Source organism: Homo sapiens, chromosome 15, assembly GCF_000001405.40.
Source record: "Homo sapiens chromosome 15, GRCh38.p14 Primary Assembly".
Taxonomy (NCBI): Eukaryota; Metazoa; Chordata; class Mammalia; order Primates; family Hominidae; genus Homo; species Homo sapiens.
In genome coordinates, this window is record NC_000015.10 from 41,175,223 (window position 1) to 41,199,381 (window position 24,159).

At 43.9% G+C, this 24,159-nt stretch overlaps 1 protein-coding gene and 1 pseudogene across 12 annotated transcripts in view, besides 1 other annotated feature; both read right to left on the reverse strand.

Annotated features, from left to right (window-relative positions):
- Positions 4,934 to 5,484: an enhancer, noted in NCBI's record as "NANOG hESC enhancer chr15:41472354-41472904 (GRCh37/hg19 assembly coordinates)". NCBI's record gives its function as "activates a minimal SCP1, AML or CMV promoter by ChIP-STARR-seq in primed H9 embryonic stem cells {active_cell/tissue: H9 hESC(primed)}" and the evidence as "EXISTENCE:reporter gene assay evidence [ECO:0000049][PMID:30033119]".
- Positions 7,506 to 24,159, reverse strand: part of EXD1 (exonuclease 3'-5' domain containing 1) — a 48,030-nt gene continuing 31,376 nt past the window's right edge. For all 12 annotated transcript variants that reach the window (XM_047432210.1, XM_011521301.3, XM_011521298.3 and 9 more), the window contains 5 exons: positions 20,711 to 20,815; positions 20,553 to 20,633; positions 16,220 to 16,363; positions 14,715 to 14,906; positions 7,506 to 9,371 (listed from right to left, as the gene is read on the reverse strand). In XM_047432210.1, coding sequence (XP_047288166.1) covers positions 8,709 to 9,371; positions 14,715 to 14,906; positions 16,220 to 16,363; positions 20,553 to 20,633; positions 20,711 to 20,815 — 1,185 coding nt within the window. In that variant the 3' untranslated portion in view covers positions 7,506 to 8,708. The remainder of the gene's footprint in view (positions 9,372 to 14,714; positions 14,907 to 16,219; positions 16,364 to 20,552; positions 20,634 to 20,710; positions 20,816 to 24,159) is intronic.
- On the reverse strand, positions 16,743 to 17,043 carry RN7SL497P (RNA, 7SL, cytoplasmic 497, pseudogene; annotated as a pseudogene).

The window sequence follows — 24,159 nt, forward strand, 5'->3', positions numbered from 1 at the left end:
GGCGCGTGCCACCACACCCAGCTAATTTTTTTATATTTTTGGTGGAGGTGGGGTTTTGCCTGTTGCCCAAGTGGTGTTGAACTGCTGAGCTCAAGCAATCTGCCCGACTTGGCCTCCGAAAATGCTGGGATTATAGGCATGAGGCACCACGCCCGGCCAGGATTGGTATTATTTGTCTTAAATGTGTGATAGAAATTCACTGGTGAAACTATTTGGGTACAAAGTTTTCTTTTTGGGAAGGTCTTACATGATGAATTCAATTTCTTTAATTGATTTAGGACCATTCAGGTTTTCTATTTCTTCATTAATTTTTATTGATGCATAATACATGCATATAATTTTGGAGAACATGTGATAATTTAATATATTCATATAATTTGTAAAGATCAAGTCGGTGTAGCTAGATATCCATCACTTTAAATATGTTTATTTTCTTTATGCTAGAACCATTTGAATTACTGTCTTCCAGCTATTTTGAAAGGTACAATAGAGTATTGCAAACTATAGTCACACTACTGATCTAACACCGTCTTATTTCTCCTATCAATCGTATATTTATACCCATTTATTTTATTTTATTTTACTTATATTTTGAGATGGAGTTTCACTCTTGTCATCCAGGCTGGAGTGCAATGGCATGATCTCCGCTCACTGTGACCGCCGCCTCTGGGTTCGAGCAATTATCCTCCCTCAACTTCCTGAGAAGCTGGGATTACAGGCACCTGCCACCACACCCAGCTAATTTTTGTATTTTTATTTATTTTTATTTTTTTATTTTTTTTTTTCAAGACGGAGTCTCGCTCTGTCGCCCAGGCTGCAGTGCAGTGGCGCAATCTCAGCTCACTGCAACTTCCTCCTCCTGGGTTGAAGCAATTTTCCTGCCTCAGTCTTCCGAGTAGCAGGGATTACAGGCACACACCACCAGGTCCAGCTAATTTTTCGATTTTTAGTAGAGACGAGGTTTCACCATGTTGGCCAGGATGGTTTCAATCTCCTGCCCAGCCTGTATTCTTTTTTTTCTTTTTCCGAGATGGAGTCTCGCTCTGCCACCCAGGCTGGAGTGCAGTGGCGCGATATCAGCTCACTGCAACCTCCACCTCCTGGGTTCAAGCGATTCTCCTGCCTCAGCCTCCCGAGTGGCTGGTATTACAGGCATGCACCACCACGCCCAGCTAATTTTTGTATTTTTAGTAGAGGCAGGGTTTCACCATGTTGGCCAGGCTGGTCTCAAACTCCTGACCTCAAGCAATCCACCCACCTTGGCCTCCCAAAGTGCTGGGATTACAGCCACCACGCCCAGCCATTTGTACCCATTAATCGACGTCCCTTTATCCTACCCTTTCCCTTTTTTTTTTTTTTTTTCCAAGACAGAGTCTCCCTCTGTCAGCCAGGCTAAAGTGCAGTGGTGAGATCTTGGCTCACTGCAGCCTCTGCTTCCTGGGTTCAAGTGATTCTCCTGCCTCAGCCTCCCAAGTAGCTGGGATTACAGGCATGTGCCACCACGCCTGGCTAATTTTTGTATTTTTAGTAGAGATGGGGTTTCACCATATTGGCCAGGCTGGTCTCGAACTCCTAACCTCAAGTGATCCACCCACCTTGGTGTCCCAAAGTGCTAGGATTTACAGGTGTGAGCCACCACGCCTGGCCCCCTACCCTTTCTTCTTGAATCAGTTTTAGTAATTTGTGATTTTCAGTGAATTTGTCCATAAAACTAAGTTGATCAACTTGTGGGCATAGCATTGTCTGTAGTATTCCTTTATCCTTTAAATGTATGTAGAGTCTAAAATGATAGCCCCTCTTTCATTCTTTGTTGTTGTTGCTCTTTCATTCTTCTTTTTTTTTTTTTGAGACATAGTCTTGCTCTGTCGCCCAGAGCTGGAGTGCAGTGGCACGATCTCAGCTTACATTGCATCCACTGCCTCCCCGGTTTAAGCAATTCTCCTGCTTTAGCCTCGTGAGTAGCTGGGATTACAGGTGTGGGCCACCATGCCTGGTTAATTTTTGTATTTTCAGTAGAAACAGGGTTTCACCATGTTGGCCAGGCTCGTCTCGAACTCCTGACCTCAAGCGATCCACCCGCCTTGGCCTCCCAAAGTGTTGGGATTACAGGCGTGACCCACCTCACCCTGCCCAGCTCTGAAGACATTTCAAAGTAACCTTTTATAATGAGTATGTTAACTTTTTTAGAGTTTCTATGATTAAGATATATTAGACGGCCGGGCGCAGTGGCTCATGCCTATAATCCCAGCACTTTGGGAGGCTGAGGCGGGTGAATCACCCGAGGTCTGGAGTTCGAGACCCGCCTGACCAACATGAGAAACCCTGTCTCTACTAAAAATACAAAATTAGTCAGGTGGGGTGGTGCTTGCCTGTAATCCCAGCTACTCAGGAGGCTGAGGCAGGAGAATCACTTGAACCCAGGAGGCGGAGGTTGTGGTAAGCTGAGATCGCATCATTGCACTCCAGCCTGGGCAACAAAAGCAAAACTCCATCTCAAAAATAAAATAAAATAAAATAAAGATGTACATAATATTATCCTTAGAGATGAGGAACATTTATCAGAATTCACATGTTCCTAATACTTATGTTCTCATTAATTTTCACTGCATCCAATTCAGGTAATTTACCCAAAAAATGACAAGAAACTTTTAAGGTTTCTGGATAAAGAAGTTTGAATTTTTTTTTTAAGACAGAGTCTTGCTCTGTCGCCAGGCTGTATTACAGTGGCGCGATCTCTGCTCACTGCAACCTCCGACTCCCTGGTTCAAGCGATTCTCCTGCCTCAGCCTCCCAAGTAGTTGGGATTACAGCTATGCGCCACCATGCCCAGCGAATTTTTGTATTTTTAGTAGAGATGGGGTTTCACCATGTTGGCCAGACTGGTCTCAGTCTCCTGACCTTGTGATCCACCCTCCTCAGCCTCCCAAAGTACTGGGATTACAGGCCTGAGCCACTGCACCAGCCAAGAAGTTTGAACTTTTAAAGTTAAAAGTATGCCATGCCTCTCAAGAAAAAAATCTCATGCTCTTGACTGGGTGTTGTGGCTCACACCTGTAATCCCAGCACTTTGGGAGGCTGAGGCAAGTAGATTGCTTGAGGTCAGGAGTTTGAGACCAGACTGGCCAACATGGTGAAACCCTATCTCTACCAAAAATACAAAAACTATCTGGGCATGGTGGTGCATGCTTGTAATCCCAGCTACTCAGGAGGCTGAGGAGGGAGAATTGCTTCAACCCGGGAGGTGGAGGTTGCAATGAGCCAAGATCGGGTCACTGCACTCCAGCCTGGGTGACAGAGTGAGGCCCTGCCACAAAAAAAAAAAAAAAAGAAAAGAAAAAAATCTCACGCTCTCAATGGTGATTACTACAAAAATTAGAGGTGGCAATATAATTGGTTAATACTTTTAGAAAGCGACTTAGCAAGAGCTGTAAAAAACAATTGTTAAAAACAAACTTTGATTTGCAAGTTCTAATATTGGATTTTCATTCTAACAAAGTGATCCAAGATACGGAAAAAGCTTTATGCATGAAATCATTGGAAACAACCTGAACATACCCAAATAGTTAAATAAGCCATACTATATCTTCTTAGGACTATTATGCAGTCATTAAAAATCTTCAGTTTGTGTAGCAGCACAGGAAAGCATGCATGAGGCAGGAAAAATACACATGTATGGTTACAACTATGTAGTGGGAAAAAAGTCCTATCCGTAGAGGCTGGAATTAACAAAAATGTCAGCTGCTTTTTCCATTGGGTTAGAAAAATAAGTACATTTTTCTCTGTTTTTCTGTATTTTTCAAATTCTATTTTATTTTATTCGTTTTGTAGAGACAGGATCTTGCTCTGTTGCCCAGGTCAGAGTGCAGTGTTGTGATCCTAGCACACCAGCCTCAAGCAATCTTCCCACCTTGGCCTCCCAAAGAGCTAGGATTATAAGTGTGAGCCACCATGCCCAGCCATTTTCCAAATTCTATTTAATAGCATGTTAATTTTAAAATAAAATATCTAGGCCAGGTGCTGCAGCTCACGCCTGTAATCCTAGCACTTTGGGAGACAGAGGCAGGCAGATCACATGAGGTAAGGAGTTTGAGACCAGCCTGGCCAACATGGTAAAACCCTGTCTCTGCTAAAAATACAAAAATTAGCCATGTGCGTTGGTGCACACCTGTAATCCCAGCTACTCAGGAGACTGTGGCAGAAAAATCGCTTGAACCTGGGAGGCAGAGGTTGCAGTGAGCCGAGATCACCCTACTGCACTCCGGCCCAGGGGACAGAGCAAGATTCTGTCAAAAGAAAGAAAGGAAGAAAGGAAGAAAGGAAGGAAGGAAGAAAGAAAGACAGGAAAGACAGGAAAGAAAGGAAAGAAAGGAAAGGAAAGAAAGGAAAGAAAGGAAGAAAGATCTAATATATCTGGCCAGGTGCAGTGGCTCACGCCTGTAATCCCAGCACTTTGGAAGGCCGAAGCCAAGGCTGGTGGCTCTCCTGAGGTCAAGAGTTCAAGACCAGCCTGGCCAACATGGTGAAACCCCATTTCTACTAAAAATACAAAAATTAATCAGGTCTGGTGGTGCACATCTGTAGTCCCAGCTACTCAGAAGGCAGAGGTGGGAGGATCACTTGAGGCTGGGAGGCAGAGGTTGCAGCAAACCGAGATTGTGCCACTGCACTCCAGCCTGGGTGTCAGAGTGAGACCCTGTCTCAAAAAAAATACAAATAAAATGAATAAAAAATAAAATATCTAGTGAAATGTTGGCTGTTAGGATTTAAAATAAAAAAATACATAATATAAAAAGCACAATAGAAAAATACATAATATGAAATGATGAAACATCAAAACAGGAAAATACATCTCAAAAGCACAATGATTGTATTTACAGTATAATTGTAACTGTGTTTCAAGTGTGTGTGTGTGTATGGTGAGAGAGAGAGAAAATAGAAAGAAAAATATCAAAATGCCAGGAAGGATTGTATAAAGTAGGGTTGTAGTTATTTTTTCTCTTATTTTCTAAATTTTCTGTAAGTTATTTGTGTTACTTTTAAAATAAATACCCTTTTGACAAATTACCTGGCTGACTCATAGGGAGTCAATTGCACCCAGGCACCCTAGTTTACCCCAGGCCTCATCTCAGCTTGCTGCTGGGACATGCATTGTCTCAAAACAATAAGATGCTTATAGGGAATTAAAGTTCTATTGTGCCATAATTTATCAAGCTCTTAGACAGATAGGGGCAAAGCCGCTGCAGTGACTTTTCGTACTATAGCTGAAAGAACGCTGAATGGGACAAGAAGCCAAGAAACACTGGTTCTGTTTTCAGTGCTGCATTTTTGTCCAGGGTGGTCATTTAACCTCCTTTCCTTATTCCAATACTAAAAGGGTCAGATTACTTGTGAGTCGCTAATTATAGGTTATGTACAGAAAAGTCAGCCGAGTAGAGGAGATACAGAAAATTAGTGGTAGACTAGAGCAAGACTCCAAGAGTTTGGGAAGCATGGTTTATGACTTCTCAGACTAGGAAAATACAGAGTAAGTAAAGAACTCAACAGTGGTTCGAGACAAAAATGCAGGATTTCCCAAAATGTAGACAAGAAATCTGGGCAATGGCGCACAGCACTAGCAACAGGTCTTGCGTTAACAGGAATTTTTTTGGACTTTATCTAGCAAAGAACAGAAATTCATCCTAAGGTGTAACCGCACACACAGAATTTAGGTAGGCACTCCAGGCTAGAATTAAGATGTAGAGAAAAGTGCTGTTTCAGGTATAGATGAGTGTTTCACTTGAGAGAATACTGTAATGAAGCCCAAAGGCTCATTTAGTTTGGGGAGTCTAGTAGTTATCAAACACACTGTCCAGTAGAACTTTTTTTTTCTCTTTTTTTTTTCTGAGACATTATCTCGCTCTGTCGCCCAGGCTGGAGTCCAGTGGTGCAATCTTGGCTCACTGCAACCTCCGCCTCCCGGGTTCAAGCGATTCTCCCGCCTCCGCCTCCTGAATAGCTGGGACTACAGGTGCGCGCCACCACGCCGGGCTAATTTTTTTTTTTTTTAGATGGAGTTTCGCTCTTGTCACCCAGACTGGAGTGCAGTAGCATGATCTTGGCTCACTGCAACCTCCGCCTCCCTGGTTCAAATGATTCTCTCACCTCAGTTTCCCGAGTAGTTGGGATTACAGGCACCTGCCAGCATACCTGGCTAATTTTTGTATTTTTAGTAGACAGAGGGTTTCACCATGTTGGCCAGGCTGGTCTCAAAGTCCTGACCTCAATTGATCCACCTGCCTCAGCCTCCCAAAGTGCTGGGATTACAGACGTGAGCCACTGTGCCTGGCTTTTTTTTTTTTTGCTACAGAGTCTCAGTCTGTTGCCCGGGCTGGAGTGCAGTGGTGCGATGTCAGCTCATTGCAACCTCCACCTCTCAAGTTCAAGTGTTTCTCCTGCCTCAGCCTCCCAAGTAACTGGGATTACTTGTGCGCTATCACGCCTGACTAATTTTTGTATTTTTTGTAGAGACAGAGTTTCACCATGTTGGCCAGGCTGGTCTCCAACTCCTGACTTCAGGTGATTCGCCTGCCTCAGCCTCCCAAAGTGCTGGGATTACAGGCATTAGCCACCTTACCCGGCAGAAAAATCCTTTTTTTTTTTTGAGACGGAGTCTCGCTCTGTCACCCAGGCTGGAGTGCAGTGGTGTGATCTCGGCTCACTGCAACCTCTGCCTCCCAGGTTCAAGCGATTCTCCTGCCTTAGCCTCCCAAGTAGCTGGAATTACAGGCAAGTGCCACCACGCCCAGCTAATTTTTGTATTTTTAGTAGAGACAGGGTTTCACTGTCTTGGCCAGGCTGTTCTCAAACTCCTGACCTTGTGATCCACCTGCCTCGGCCTCCCAAAGTGCTGGGATTACACGCGTGAGCCACTGCGCCCAGCCTGAGGGGTAATACCTTGTACTTTTTTCTTTTTTTTTTTTTTTCAAATTGTACTTTATACCATGTATGTAAATATGTTATGAGTAGTAACTGAATGGTCTTGCAGATCACCTGAGGTCAGGAGTTCAAGACCAGCAACTGAATGGTTCTATAAGAAGCTAAATGAAGTTCAAGAATTTTACAGGAATCCATGCCTTTTGCAGAGTAAACCTAGACTGACCACATACCGGGCTCAATCTGAAGATGCATTCACCAAAGATGAACCAGTAACTACTTTGGCCCCAAGTGACTTTCTAATCTAAGTATAAGGTGAGACAACGCAACTGCAGGGCTGAGCCAACTGCCCTCAGGCCTGCCTTAATCTTAACCTCAGACTAGATCTGGGCTCTGGAGTTCGGAAAGGCAAAAAAATTCTTTCAGTGGCAGTCAGAATCAACTAGTGCAGACAAGGATGCTCCTGATCTTAGATTGTTCCTAAGAGCAAAAAGAATAACAGAGTCGAATCACAGATTTATAAACTGGACTCTGGACCTAGAAATCCAGACATTTCTTTCCACCCTGACCCAATTAAGAAAAGTGAGAGATTGTTTTTTTAAGTAGAGTATGACAAAACAGGTTTATTGGTTATTTTACACAAAAGAATGTTAGCAATTTGCAAGCATTCAATACTTTAAAAGGCTCAATACAAGCTGCCTTCCTTTCACCCTAAGAAAGTATACTAACTCCAGGCAAATAGAATGGAGTCAGGCTTCAAGTTTATATAACAGACAGACTAAAAAGAAACCCAGGGTCCCTGCTTTGTTAGGAAAATGGACAAAACCAGCTAAAAATAAAGGAAATAAAAACAAATTAAAATAAAGATATTGGCTGGGCACCGTGCCTCACACCTGTAATCCCAGCACTTTGGAAGCCAAAGGCAGGTGGACCACAAGGTCAGTCAGGAGTTCGAGACCAGCCTGGCCAACATGGTGAAACCCCATCTCTACTAAAAATACAAAAATTAGCCGGGCGTGGTGGCACGCACCTGTAATCCCAGCTACTCAGGAGGCTGAGGCAGGAGAATTGCTTGAACCCGGGAGGCGGAGGTTGCAGTGAGCAGAGATTACACCACTACACTCCAGCCTGGGTGACAGAGTGAGACTCCATCAAAAAACAAATAAAACAAAAATTAAATTATTGATTCCTATAACATTATTTGCCTAAGAGACAGACAAAACATTCAACATTCAAACATAAAGTTAATATTATATTTTAAAAAGGAAAAAAGTGGTTACTCTGGGCACACTGCCTATGGTGTAGCCCTGCTCCACAAGGAGCGGTAAAAAAAAATAAATAAAACAAATAAATAAAAAGGAAAAAAGTACTGGTAAAGTTATCAGGTACCAATTTTTTAAATGAATTGTTAATAGTTTTACCAGGTCTCTTCAAAGGAATCCAAAAGTCAAGAAGCAAAACAAAATTTGAAAATGATGGAGTCTTCCTGATACTAAGCCCAAGATTCTTCCTTTCTTCAAATCCTCTAAACCCAAATTATGAAAAATAATGCACTCTGGTCACTGAGAACATTTCTACACAGTGACATAATCAGAAATTATACTTCTTCCATTATTTAACTTATTCATTCTCATTCTCCGCATACCAGGAACACAGGAGTAAGCAAGAGGATATAATTTTCCCCTGTGACTGAAGCATTACTACATTTACAACATGAGAAACCTGGGCACTGTGGAAAGCCCTGATGGCAAAGGAAATAAGCCATCTGTATGGCCTTAAGAACAAACTGCCCATCTCTAGGGCAGATTTAGAAAAGGACTTATCCAGGAATCGATCTTCTCCAAGGCTGGACAGGGAGGGAGTGTGGAAACCACAGTCTTTCTGATAGGATAAAAAGTGTCACTTGGAGACACTCTGGTTTCCTGAGGAAAGGAAGACATTGAAACAGCCTGTTTTGTGCATTTTAAATCTTCCTTGTTTTCCACCATCAATAACTGTTCTGTCTCCTCTTTCAAAGATAAACTTGCCTGAAACTCATGTTTGGGTGTCATAAAGTGTTCTTTCTGAGTTATTCTCTGGTCCTCTGACCCCTTTGACTTTGTGCAAATGAGTTTGTTACTGGAATCCTCACTGGTTTCCCCTTCCTCTGTGGGAGGTAGATGTTGAGGATTTGTAGCTTGTTTATTCAAAGATTCTTCTTTCAGTAAATTCACATCCCCGTGAAAGTCTTGAGATGTAAAACTTGGAGCTTTATCTATCCTAAAATTTTTACCAAATAAGAAGCCTTTGACTTTCTCCTCTTTCCCTGCTGTCTCTGTCACTAATTTCTTTGGCTGTAGCACTGTCCTTATCAGGAGTCCCTGTGCATTCACCCTATATTCTCTTGCAGCTTTCTCCCTGCGCTGCTTCTGGAAGTCCTTGAGTTGAAGCAGTTCCTCTGGCAGCTCCATACATGTAGGCTAAGAAGAGAAAGCGAACACAAGTTTATTATAACTAAACTTCTGAATATGGTACTTAAAATCACTTTTTTTTTTTTTTGAGATGGAGTCTCGCTCTGTCGCCCAGGCTGAAGTGCAGTGGCACGATCTCGGCTCACTGCAAGCTCTGCCTCCTGGGTTCAGGCCATTCTCCTGCCTCAGCCTCCCAAGTAGCTGGGACTACAGGCGCCTGCCACCACGCCCAGCTAATTTTTTTTCTATTGTTAGTAGAGACAGAGTTTCACTGCGTTAGCCAAGATGGTCTCGATCTCCTGACCTCGTGATCCACCTGCCTCGGCCTCCCAAAGTGCTGGGATTACAGTCGTGAGCCATAGTGCCCGGCCTGAAATCACTTCTGTTGTACCAAATGGTAATTGGTAAATGAGAGTCTATTCAAATGTGTTCATATAGCACCCTCTGGTGTCTTCAATTATAGTAGTATCATTTTTCTAGTAATTTCAATATTTTGAAAAGGCAGTGAATCCATAGGGCTGTGTGTCTCTGTGTGTATGCACGTATGTATAAAGACTATACAGGAAAAGTTAGTCTCCCTTCCAGCCTGGCCTCAGCTGCGTTAGCAGGTACATCTTCTTAGAGCAGTTTCTTGTGTTATCTCCCAAAGATAGTCTACTCATGTATGATCATATACATATTTTTTCATTGGATTACATTTTTATTTTCCTCCAAATTTTTATTTTGTTATCTCTTTCAGGTTTTGGGAAGTTTTTTGTTTTGTTTTGTTTTGATTTTTTTAGACAGGGTCTTGCTCTGTTGCCTTGGCTGGAGTGCAATGGTGTGATCATGGCTCACTGTAACCTATAACACCTGGCCTTTAGTGATCCTCCTGCCTCAGCCTCCTGGGTAGCTGGAAGCACAGGTGCATGCCACCATGCCTTGCTAATTTTTGTGGGGTTTTTTTTGAGACAGGGCCTTGCTCTGTCACCCAGGCTGAAGTACAGTGGTGTGATCATGGCTTACTGCAATCTCCACCTCCTGGGCTCAAGCAATCCTCCCACGTCAGCCTCCCCCACTCAGAGGAGCTGCAACTTCAGGTGTGTGCCACCACGCCTGGCTAATATTTAATTTTTTTGTAGAGACAGGGTTTCACTATGCTGGCCAGGCTGGTCTTGAATCCCTGGGCTCAAGTGATCCTCCCACCTCAGCCTCCCAAAGTGCTGGGATTATAAGCATGAGCCACCACACCCGGCATCCGATTATATTTTTTAGCTGCTTGTATGGATATCAAAAATCTAGTAATTTTTACATTTGTACCCAGGCACTTTATAAATTGTCTTTTTGTTTGTGGTAGTCTTTTTCAGTTGTTTCTCTTCAGTTTTTAGTTGTATAGCTGGCAAGTCATAATTCTGATTCCTTTTTTCAATTTCCATAGCTCATATTTTATTTTCTAATTTCACTGGCTAATAGCTTCAAAAATACTAAAATAGTGGTGATAGTCACAATTTTTGTACTGTTCCTGATATTAGTGTTCTCAAACAAATATGCAGTCTTCTCTCTTGAGATACTTTCCATATCCATGGGTTCTGCATCCATGGATTCAACCAACTGTAGATTGCAATAGTCAGGAAAAAGTGGCTCACGCCTGTAATCCCAGCACTTTGGGAGGCTGAGGTGGGTGGATCACTTGAGGTCAGGATTTCCAGACCAGTCTGACCAACATGGCCAAACCCCATCTCTACTAAAAATATAAAAATTAGCTGAGCACGGTAGCACATGCTTTTAATCCCAGCTACTCAGGAGGCTGAGGGAGGAGAATCACTTGAACTCAGGAGGTGGAGGTTGCAATGAGCCAAGATTGCACCACTGCACTCCAGCCTGGGTGATGAGCAAGACTCTGTCTCAAAAAAAAAAAAAAAAAAATCAGAAAAAAAAAGAATGGTTGCATTTGAAATGATGATGCACAAACTTTTTTTTCCATGTCATTATTCCCTAAACAATGCAATATAACAACTATTTACATAGCATTTACGTTGTATTAGCTATTATAAGTAATCTAAGAATGATTTGAAGTATAGGAGAGGATATGATAGTGAAAAATGAAAAAATGCTGCTGCACATTTCCGTATAACCTATACATATCCTCCCCTATACTTTAAATCATCCTTACATTTCATATAAGGGACATACATTTCATCCATATATTTCTTTTTTTTTTCTTTTAGGAGATGGAGTTTTGCTCTTGTTGCCCAGGCTGGAGTACAATGGTGCACTCTCGGCTCACTGCAACCTCCACCTCCTGGGTTCAAGCGATTCTTTTTTTTTTTCTTTTTTTTTTTTTTGAGATGGAGTTTCGAGCCCAGGCTGGAGTGCAATGGCGTGATCTCAGCTCACCGCAACCTCCGCCTCCCAGGTTCAAGCGATTCTCCTGCCTCAGCCTCCCGAGTAGCTGGCATTACAGGCATGCGCCACCATGCCCGGCTAATTTTGTATTTTTAGTAGAGATATGGTTTCTCTATGTTGGTCAGGCTGGTATCAAACTCCTGACCTCAGGTTATCCGCTCGCCTGGGCCTCCCAAAGTGCTGGGATTACAGGTGTGAGCCACCACACCCGGTCTGTCCAAGCAATTCTCCTGCCTCAGCCTCCCAAGTAGCTGGGATTACAGGCATGCACCACCATGCCCAGCTAATTTTTGTATTATTAGTAGAGACAGGGTTTCACCATGTTGGCCAGGCTGGTCTTGAACTCCTGACCTCAGGTGAACCACCCACCTTGGCCTCCCAAAGTGCTGGGATTACAGGCATGAGCCACTACACCCGGCTCATCCATACGTTTCATATAATCATCCATACATTTCACATAAGGGACTTGAGCATTATGGGTTTTGGTATCCATGGGGGGATGTTGGAACCAATCCCCCACAGATGCTGAGAGATGACTGTATATGTTTTATTATGTTAGAAAAGTTACCATCTATTCCAACTTTGACCAATAATGCATGTAGAGTATTATAATTTATTCAGCATTTATAAGATAATCATAACACTTTCTTGGCTCTACTGAAATGTATGATTTTGTCACACTGAACCATGCTTGCAACTAGAATCCAATGACACATTAAAAATAATAACATATATAGGGTTCATATAAAAAATGCTAGTATTAGGCCGGGTGCAGTGGCTCACGCCTTGTAAATCTAGCACTCTGGGAGGCCGAGGCGGGTGGATCACCTGAGGTCAGGAGTTCGAGACCAGTCTGACCAACATGGAGTAACCCCGTCTCTACTAAAAATACAAAATTAGCCAGGCGGGGTGGTGCATGCCTGTAATCCCAGCTAATCAGGAGGCTGAGGCAGGAGAATCGCCTGAACCCAGGAGGTGGAGTTTGTAGTGAGCCGGTATCACACCACTTCACTCCAGCCTGGGCAACAAGAGCGAAACCCCGTCTCAAAAAAAAAAAAAAAAAAAAAAGCTAGTATTTTAAGATTTTACATCAATATTCATAAGTAAAAGTGGTTTATAACAGCAACTGGCAAACTTTTCCTGTAAAGAACAAAACAGCAAATATTTTAGGCTTTGTGAGCCATAGTCTCATATACTACTTCTACTACTTTTTTTTTTAACAATACTTTAAAAATGTAAAAATTGTTCTTAGCTCATGAGCTGGAGAAAACAGTCTGCAGGCCAGATTTGGCCAGCGGGCTATAGTTTGCCAAATCCTGATCTATAGTCTCCCTCCCCTCTTTTTCCTCCCTCTCCCTCCTCTTCCCCCTCCCCTTGTCCCCTCCACTCTCCTCCCTTCCCCTCCCCTTCCCTCTCATTTCTTGTCTTTTCTTTTCTTTTTCAGACAGAGTTTCTGCTGGTCACCCAGGCTGGAGTGCAGTGGCAGAATCTCGGCTCACTGCAACCCCTACCTCCTGGGTTCAAACGATTCTCCTGCCTCAGGCTCCCAAGTAGCTGGGACTACAGGTGCCCGCCACCATGCCCAGCTAATTTCTGTATTTTTTGTAGAGACGGGGTTTCACCATGTTTGCCAGGCTGATCTCAAACTCTTGACCTCAGGTGATCACCAGCCTCGGCCTCCCAAAGTACTGGGATTACAGGTATGAGCCACCGTACCTGGCCCTGGCCCTTTTTTTTGAGACAGTCATTGTTAATATTCATAGTATGCTTGAAAAATGATTGAAATTCTCAGTTTAATAGTTTAAGCTTTTCCTTTTTTTTCTTTTCTTTCTTCTTTTTTTTTTTTTTTTTGAGACAGAGTCTTGCTCTGTCACCCAGGCTGGAGTACAGTGGTGTCATCACAGCTCACTGCAACCTCCACCTCCCGGGTTCAAGCTGTTCTCCTGCCTCAGCATCCTGAGTAGATGGGATTACAGGCATGTGCCACCACGCCTGGCTCATTTTTTGTATTTTTAGTAGAGATGGGGTTTCATCATGTTGGCCAGGCTGGTCTCAAACTCCTGACCTCAGGCCTATAGTTTTTTATATCTCTCTGCTGCATAAGAATAAATATGGAGGCCAAGCACGGTGGCTTATGCCTATAATCCCAGCACTTTGAGAGGCCAAGGCAGGCTCATCACCTAAGGTCAGGAATTCAAGACCAGCCTGGCCAACATGGTAAAACCCCATGTCTACCAAAAATACAAAAATTAACAGGGCATGGTGGCAGGTGCCTGTAATCCCAGCTACTCAGGAGGCTGAGGCAGGAGAATTCCTTGAACCCAGGAGGCGGAGGCTACAGTGAGCTGAGATCATACCACTGCACTCCAGCCTGAGTGACAGAGCGAGACTCCATCTCAAAAAATAAAAATAGGCTGGGCGTGGTGGTTCATGCCTGTAATCCCAGCACTTTGGGAGGCCAAGGTGGGCGGATCACAAGGTCAGGAGTTTGAGACCAGCCTGGCCAACATGGTGAAACCCCATTTCTACTAAAAATACAAAAAATTAGCCAGGCGTGGTGGCACATGCCTGTAATCCCAGTTACTCAGGAGGCTGAGGCAGGAGAATTGCTGGAACCCAGGAGGCGGAGTTTTCAGTGAGCTGAGATCATGTCATTGCACTCCAGCCTGGGCGACAGAGTGAGACTCTGTCTCAAAAAAAATAAATAAATAAAATAAAATAAAATAAAATAAAAATATGGAAATATTAAACTTACCCATTCTTAGACAGAAGTATTTCTTGGATACCTAACTTAACATTATGAAAAAGTGAGGGGATGGATCATGCCCAAGCTGTTGCCCCTTCAAGAGTATTTATCCCCAAGTTGACCCCATGAAAACTATCGCAGCTATGAAGAAAGGGTATCACTGTGTCTGCCTTCCTTGAGAAGGCAGAAAGGAGGTCCTGAAGACAGAGAGCTGCACCTACCTCAGTGCCTCCAAGCCGGTCTGCAGACCCTTCGCGATACGTGTTTAGGTAACCATCCACCAGGGTGGTTAGGTCAGACATCATCTCATCTAGGAGTGCCAAGCGAAGGGGTAACAGGTAGGTAGCTTCCAGGGCCAAAATTTTCAGTAAAGAGGGTGAAACAGGTCGGATGAACCATACTTCTGGATTTTCCTGGAGACAATAAAACAATTTCCTCTGAACAGTAAGCAAGACTTTAAAGAAAATAACTGTTTTAGGCTGGGCACAGTGGCTCATGCCTGTAATCCCAGCACTCTGGGAGGCTGAGGCAGGCGGATCACAAGGTCAAGACATCAAGACCATCCTGGCCAACAAGGTGAAACCCCATCTCTACTAAAAATACAAAAATTAGCTGGGCATGGTGGCACGCGCCTGTAGTCCCAGCTACTCAAGAAGCTGAGGCAGGAGAATCGCTTAAACCTGGGAGGCGGAGCTTGCAGGGTTGCAGTAAGCTGAGATTGCGCCACTGCACTCCAGCCTGGTGACAGAGCGAGACTCCGTCTCAAAAAAAGAAAAAAAAAGAAAAGAAAAGAACTGTTTAAAGTATTGCTTAATTTAAGACACTATCATTTTCTTCTATTATTACCTTCTATTTTCACACTATTGATAGCCTTTGAGCATACACATGCTTGCACACATACTCCTACATTAACAGTGTGTGTGTAACAGAGAAAGAGAGGGGTAGAGGTTGGTCAATCAAGACTTCTCAAAGCTAGAGGCAGCAAACTTGATTATGTGAACAGAATTGCAGCCAATACAATTATGACCTAAGTTTGCATGCAAGGATGTCAGAAGGTAAAGAAAATTTACTTTACTTTGGGAGAAATAACTAGGGTGATTTTGGTTCCATTGCCTTGATCAAAATTCTCACAAAAATTTCCCCCTTGTCCCAGCTAGAAAATTTATTTAAGAGTGCTTATTTGTTTATTTATTTATTTATTTATTTATTATTTTTTGAGACAGAGTCTCACTCTGTTGCCCAGGCTGGAGTGCAGTGGCACGATCTCAGCTCACCGCAATGTCCACCGCCCCTGCCCCCAACTCCAAGTTCAAGCGATTCTCCTGCCTCAGCCTCCCGAGTAGCTGAGACTACAGACACCTGCCACCATGCCCAGTTAATTTTTGTATTTTTAGTAGAGGAGATTTCACCATGTTAGTCAGGCTGGTCTTGAACTCCTGACCTCAGGTGATCCGCCCGCCTCAGCCTCCCAAAGTGTTGGGATTATAGGCGTGAGCCACCGAGCCCGGCCTAAGACTGCTTTTTAATTAATAGCTAACAAATCTGGATCCTGGCTTTTATCCACTTGAGACCAGATATAAACCATTCCCATTTGGTACAGTTAAGATTTTGGCAATGTTCATATGATAACATGGCAGCTGTCATTTTTCTACATAACAGGCTGATAATACTGCTCAGAAAACACTTGAAAAAAAATAATGTCATACAGGACATCCTTTACACCCACCTGAATTAGTTTTTGTCTCTTTTCTAGAAAGGAGAGATATTTAGGGGCTACTTGAAGGTGTTTGATTAAACTCTCCTGCAAAGTAGTGATGCAGTTTGGAAGATAGCCACCCGTTTCCATGGAAAACTGAAGTACATCTGCTACCTGTGGTATTTTAAAAAGACAAACAGACCAGTTGAATATATACAGAGAGCTATCTCATGCCAGAAATATATTTAGAGAAATGTCTAAATAACATTTTCCCCAAGGACCCACACGATAGACCATGTCATCGGAAAATTTAAAGTTGTTCAGCCAACTTATTCTGAAAAATGAGAAAAAAAAAACGGAATAAAAGCTCAATTTTTTTTTTTGAGGTGGAGTCTCGCTCTGTCGCTCAGGCTGGAGTGCAGTGGCATGATCTCAGCTCACTGCAACCTCCACTTCCCAGGTTCAAGTAATTCTCCTGCCTCAGCCACCCGAGTAGCTGGGACTACAGGTGCAGGCTACCACGCCTGGCTAATTTTCAACTTTTTTTTTTTTAAGAGACAGGGTCTTACTATGTCGTCCAGGCTGGAGTGCAGTGGCTATTCACAGGCAGGATTCCACTACTGATGAGCACGGAGGTTCTGACCTGTTCCATGTCTGATCTGGACTCGTTCACCCTCCCTTAGGCAACCTGGTGGTTCTCCCCGCTCCTGGGAGGCCACCACATTGATGCCAATCTCAGTACAGGCACCCAATCAGCACAGCGCCCTACAGTCCAAAACTCCTTAGCTCAAGCAATCCTCCCACTACAGCCTCCATAGTAACCATGACTACAGACACAACCCATCACACCCAGCAACCCAACTTTGCGTTTCCTTAACTACTTTCTTTTTTCTTTTCTTTTCCTGAGGCAGTCTTCCTCTGTCGCCCAGAGCTGGAGTGCAATGGTGTGATCTTGGCTCATTGCAACCTCCACCTCCCGGATTCAAGCAATTATCCTGCCTCAGCCTCCCGAGTAGCTGTGATTACAGGTGTGTGCCACCATGCCTGGCTAATTTTCATATTGTTAGTGCAGACAGGGTTTCACCATGTTGGCCAGGATAGTCTCGATCTCTTGACCTCGTGATCCGCCCGCCTTGGGCTCCCGAAGTGTTGGGATTACAGGCGTGAACCACTGCGCCAGGCATTTTTTTTTTTTTTTTTTTTTTTTTTTTTTTTTTTTTTGAGATAGGGTCTTGCTCTATCTCCCAGGATGGAGTACAACGCCACAATCATGGCTTACTGCAGCCTCAATCTTCCAAGTTCAAGGGATCTTCCCACCTCAGCCTCGAGTAGCTAGGACTACAGGCACATCCCACTATGCCTGGCTAGTATTCTTAAGATTTTTTTTTTTTTTTTTTTTTTTGAGACGGAGTCTCGTTCTGTCGCCCAGGCGGGAGTGCTGTGGCGCGATCTCGGCTCACTGCAAGCTCCGCCTCCCGGGTTCACGCCATTCTCCTGCCTCAGCCTCTCCAAGTAGCTGGGACTACAGGCGCCCGCCACCACGCCCAGCTAATTTTTTGTATTTTTAGTACAGACAGGGTTTCACCGTGCTCTCGATCTCCTGACCTTGTGATCCGTCCGCCTCGCCCTCCCAAAGTGCTGGGATTACAAGTGTGAGCCACCGCGCCCGGCCTCTTAAAATTTTTTTGTAGAGACAGTGTCTCACTACGTTGTTCGGGCTGATCTCGAATTCCTGGGCTCAAGCAATCCTCCTGTCTCGGCCTCCCAAAGTGTTGGGATTACAGGCGTGAGCCACTGCACCTAATGTTTTTATTTTCTCCTTGTGTTATAATACCTACCTGCCTTATGGTTATTTATTAGTCTTTGTTACCCTTTAGGGAATCAAGAAAGGAAGATAAAATTCAAGAATTATTTTTAGTGGGCTGAGAATGCATTCCTATAGTGCCAGCTAGTCGGGAGCTGAACCAGCAGGATCTCCTGAGCTCAGGAGTTCGATGCCAGCATGGGCAACATAGTGAGACTCCGTTTCTGGGGGGGAAAAAAATGGGCCTGGCATGTTGGCTCACACCTGTAATCCCAGCACTTTGGAAGCCAAGGCTAGAAGACTGTTTGAGGTCGGGAGTTCAAGACCAGCCTGGACAATATAGAGAGACCCCATATCTTAAAAAAATTTTAAAAATCAGCCAGGCATGGTGGTGTGTACCTGTAGTCCCAGCTACTTGGGAGGCTGAAGTGGAAGGATGGCTTGAGCCCAGGACTTCGAGGCCACATTAGCAGAGAGCTATGATCATGCCACTTCACTCCAGCCTGGGCAACAGAGCCAGACCTTGTCTCAAAAAAAAAAAATTACTTTTATTATCTACTGGTAACCAAGAAAATTTTGTAAGAAAAGCTAATAAAATAAATAATTATAATTATTTATCTATATGTGGTAGGCTGGCCAATGGCCCCCAAAGATAACTTCTTCATAACCACAGGAACCTGTATCTTACATGCAAAAGGGACTTTGCAGCTGTGATTAAGTTAAGGATTTTGAGATGAGATTATCCTGAATTACCCAGGTAGGCCCTAAATGGAATGACAAGTGATTTTTTTTTTTTTTTTTTTTTTTTTTTGGTGAGACGGAGTCTTGCTCTCTCTCCCAGGCTGGAGTGCAGTGGTGCAATCTTAGCTTACTGCAAGCTCTGACTCCCAGGTTCACACCATTCTCCTGCCTCAGCCTCCCGAGTAGCTGGGACTACAGGCGCCTGCCACCATGCCCGGCTAATTTTTTGTATTTTTAGTAGAGACAGGGTTTCACCATGTTAGCCAGGATGGTCTCAATCTCCTGAACTCGTGATCTGCCCACCTTGGCCTCCCAAAGTGTTGGGATTACAGGTGTGAGCCACCGTGCCGGGCCTGAAAAGTGATTTTTTTAACAGCAAGGCAGACGGAGATTTTACTACAGTCAGAGGAGAAGGTGATGTGATGATGGAAGCAGGGATTACAGTGATGCACTTTGAAAATGGAGGAAGGGGCTACAAGCCAAGGAATACAAGTGGCCACTAGAAGCTGAAAAAGGCAAGGAAACTCTCTCTTCAGAAGAGCCTCTAGAAGAAATCAGCCCTGCAAGACACCTTGACTTTAGCCTAGTGAAAATGATTCAAGACTTCTGACCCTAAAACAATAAAATAATAAATTTGCATTGTTTTAGGCCACTAAATTTGTGGTGATTTGTTACAGCAGCAATAAGAAACTAATACACTGTTATAGAAAAAGAAATTGGTGAAAATTCTGCTTCTTGGACTATGTAACTCTAAAAAGAAAAACATGAACAGATATGCCAAGGTCTTCATTAGACAATACGTATAAGATCTAATCAAGAAGCCTAATGGCCTCAAGGAAACAAACAGCAATTATGTTAGATTTTGGAGTAAGCATAAAAGCAATCTCTACAAATGGCAGCAAATACATTATAAGTAGATACATAAACAGAAAAAGTGAACCAAATATAGTAACATAAAATTGAACTTTTAGAGATTGCTGCTCAAAAATAATTGGCCAACTTATTAGTTCAGTTTCTCTCCAAAGGCTCTAAGCTTGTGTAATCAAGATTTCCCTTTTACTATCATAAACCTAAAAGACTAGAAGAACCTGAAGAAAACATAATGAAACTAGTGGTTTTACTGCTCTCACAGCCAAACCAGAAACCCAGATCAGCTCTAAGAGCTAGTAGAGGTTCATGCCTTTACTTGGGTGGCTGAGGCAGGAGGATGGCTTGAGAGTAAGGGCTTGAGACTAGCCTGGGCAACACAGTAAGACTCCACTTCTAAATAATAATAACAACAACAATAATGCTGGTAGAATCTAGGGCTTTCTCATTTATCTAAGGTCCCCTAGAGGACAGACAAATTATATCACTTCAGGCTGTTTGGGCCCACATAGATTTGGGGGGCATATGCAGGACGACCTGTACCCCTAAACTAGATGTCAGCTTGCCTTAATTGTCACATATGTGGTAGAGGCAGATATGTGATTGTTCATCTCATGCTATGTCTCCCATGTCAGGCTTCTGAATGATCCCTAAATTGCTCAAGTTTCTGAATGCTATGGAGTCTGAATCTTGCTTCTTTGACAAATTCTGGAGCAAAATGAGGAAAACATCTTTATAAATAATTTTAAGCAACTTTACTGCAGTGCTTTTATAGAACACCAAATGTTCTCACATATTGTACAAACATTTTACATGAAAAGTGAGCAGAAATGGAGCACCAAAAAAAAAAAAAAAATTAAAAAGACTTTCACTCATCAGATGACCAGATGAGCCCTTTTATCTACAGGAGCTGTATATACTGGTTTGAATCCAGTGCTTCCCTTCATGTACCTGTGTGTCAAAGACATTATTCAGCAAAATTCCATACTGATGAGAGAGGCAATCAGAAAGCCAACGACAATCATGGATAACCTAAGGAATCAGAAGGAAACAGTCATTAGAACCTGGCTGCTAATCTTAATAGCACAGGAATCAGTTTATATACTTACCTTCAAAATTCTCTTGTCTTCTAGTATCATCTGAAGTCCATTGTGGAAAGCTCGACTTCCCAGAAGGAAAATGTCAAATAAGTAAACTCGGCAATTTGTGGCCACCTACAATAGACCATCCAGACACACATACCATAGGATAAGAAAGAACTGAGGAAGGGAAATTTGAGGATGAAGAGTAAAAGACGTGATAAAATATCTAACATCTTCACTTTATTTATTTATTTATTTAGAGACAAAGTTTCACTCTGTTGCCCAGGCTGGAGTGCAGTGGCACAATCACGGCTCACTGCAACCTCTGCCTCCTGAGTTCAAGCAATTCTCCTGCCTCGGCCTCCTGATAGCTGTGATTACAGGCATGCGGCACCACGCCCAGCTAATTTTTTTTTTTTTTTTTTTTTTGAGACAGAGTCTTGCTCTGTCACCTGGGCTGGAGTGCAGTGGCGCGATCTTGGCTCACTGCAGCCTCTGCCTCCTGGGTTCAAGCAATTCTCCTGTCTCAGCCTCCCAAGTAGCTGGGATTACAGGTGCACGCCACCATGCCCAGCTAAGTTTTGTTATTTTTAGTAGAGAAGGGGTTTCACCATGTTGGCCAGGATGGTCTCAATCTCTTGACCTCATGATCCACCCGCCTTGGCCTCCCAAAGTGCTGGGATTACATGTGTGAGCGTCCATGTCCAGTGAGAAAGGGTTTCACCATATTGGCCAGGCTGGTCTCGAACTCCTGACCTCAGGTGATCTACACACCTCGGCCTCCCAAAGTGCTGGGATTACAGGCATGAGCCACTGCACCTGGCCAATTTTTTTTATTTTTTGTAGACATGGGGTTTCACCATGTTGGCCAGGCTGGTCTCAAACTCCTGACCTCAAATGATCCACCCGTATCAGCCTCCCAAAACTTTATTTTTTTTGAGACAGGGCCTTGCTCTGTCACCCGGGCTGGACAACAGTGGCTTTATCTTGGCTCACTGCAAATTCAACCACCCAGGCTCTTGTGATTCTCCCACCTCAGCCTCCCAAGTACCTGGATTACAGGCACCCACCACCACGCCCAGCTAATTTTTGTATTTTTTGTAGAGACTGGGCTTTGCCATGTTGCCCAGGCTGGTTTCAAACTCCTAGGCTAAAGCAATCTGCCTGCCTTGGCCTTCCAAAATGCTGGGATTACAGGCGTGAGCCACCAGGCCCCACCACATCTTCACTTTTAAATGATAGGTACTTGATTCTTAGAGAAAACAGGTATAATTTGTTCTTAAGTAAAAAAAGTAAGACACAATCACTGTGATTTTCTTTTTTCTTTTTTTTTTTTTTTTGAGACGGAGTCTTGCTCTGTCGCCCAGGCTGGAGGGCAGTGGCACGATCTCGACTCACTGCAACCTCTGCTGTCCGGGTTCTCGCCATTCTCCTGCCTCAGCCTCCTGAGTAGCTGGGACTAAAGGCACCTGCCACCATGCCCTGCTAATTGTTTTTCTTTTTGTATTTTTAGTAGACATGAGGTTTCACTATGTTAGCCAGGATGGTCTCGATCTCCTGACCTCCACCCATCTCGGCCTCCCAAAGCGCTGGGATTACAGGCATGAGCCACCACGCCCGGCCAATGATAGGTACTTGATTCTTGGAGAAAACAGGTAAAATTTGTTCTTAAGTAAAAAAAGTAAGACACAATCATTGTGATTTTCAAAAGCAAAGAAAAGGACAAGCTGGTGAAAGAGACTTTCCCTTTTTTTTTTGAGACAGTTTCACTCCTGTTGCCCAGGCTGGATCTTGGCTCACTACAACCTCTGCCTCCCAGGTTCAAGTGATTCTCCTGCCTCCTGAGTAGCTGGGATTACAGGGACCCGCCACCACACCTGGCTAATTTTTTGTATATTTTAATAGAGATGGGGTTTCACTATGTTGGCCAGGCTGGTCTCGAACTCCTGACCTCAGGTGATCCACCCACGTTGGCCTCCCAAAGTGCTGGAGCCTGTAATCCCAGCTACTTGGGGGGCCGAGGCAGGAGAATCGCTTGAACCCTGGAGGCAGAGGTTGCAATGAACCAAGATTGCGCCATCGCACTCCAGCCTGGAGGACAAGAGTGAGACTTTGTCTCAAAAAAAATAAAAATAAAGAAATAAAGAAATTTTACCAGTCTCATCTATGGCATTCTAATTGTGAACTAAATATTTGGTCTTCCTTCTGATTTCCTGAAATATAGCTCCTAAAACCCTTGGAATCTTGAAAGTGAGTGATAAGAGTGTTTTTTGTGTATTAATGGGATGACTGGTGCCTGGGGGCTCCTAGATGCTCCCAGAGTTTCAGGACAGGCACTAGTCACAGGAAAGACAAACCCATGATTAGAGGGCTGGGACTTTCATCCCCACTATCCAACCTCCAGGGAGGAGAAAGGGGCTGAAGGGTAAGTTGATCACGAATGGCCAATGACTTAATCATTTATGCCTACATAATGAAGCCTCCATTAAAAACCCCAAAGGGAGGCTGGGCAAGGTGGCTCACACCTGTAATCGTAAGCACTTTGGGAGGCCAAGGTAGGAGGATCTCTTGAACCCAGGAGTTCAAGACCACCTGGAAAACTTATGGACACCCCATCTGTACAAAAAATTTAAAAATCAGCTGAGCATGGTGGTGCACCTGTGGTCCCAGCTACTCGGGAGGCTGAGGTGGGAGGATCACTTGAGCCTAGGAGCTCCAGGTTGCAGTGAGCCGTGTTTGCACCACTGCACTCTAGCCTAGGTGACAGAAATAGACTCTCTTTTTATTTTTTAATTAAAAAAAATTTTTTTTTTTTTTAAGACAGAGTTTCGTTCTTGTTGCCCAGGCTGCAGTGCAATGGTACAATCTCGGCTCACTGAAACCTCTGCCTCCCGGGTTCAAGTGATTCTCCTGCCTCAGCCTCTCAAGTAGCTGGGATTACAGGTGCCTGCCACCACGCCCGGGTAATTTGTTGCATTTTTAGTAGGGACTAGGTTTGGTGATCCACTCACCTAGGCCTCCCAAAGTACTGGGATTACAGGCGTGAGCCACCACACATGGCCTTTTTTCTTTTTTGGAGATTGAGTCTTAATCTGTTGCCCAGGCTGGAGTGCAATGGCATGATCTCGGCTCACTGCAACCTCTGCCTCCTGGGAGCAATTCTCCTGCCTCAGCCTCCCAAGTAGCTGGGATTACAGGTGCACGCCAACACACCCAGCTAATTTTGTATTTTTAGTAGAGACGGGATTTTACCATGTTGACCAGGCTGGTCGTGAACTCCTGACCTCAGGTGATCCGCCTGCCTTGGCCTCCTTGGGATTACAGGCATGAGCTACCACACCTGGCCAAAAATTTTTTTTTAATATGGAGATGGGGTCTCCCTATGTTGCCAAGGCTGATCTTGAATTCTTCAACACAAGTGATCCACCCGTCTCAGCCTCTCAAAGTGCTGGGATTACAGGCATGCACCACCATGT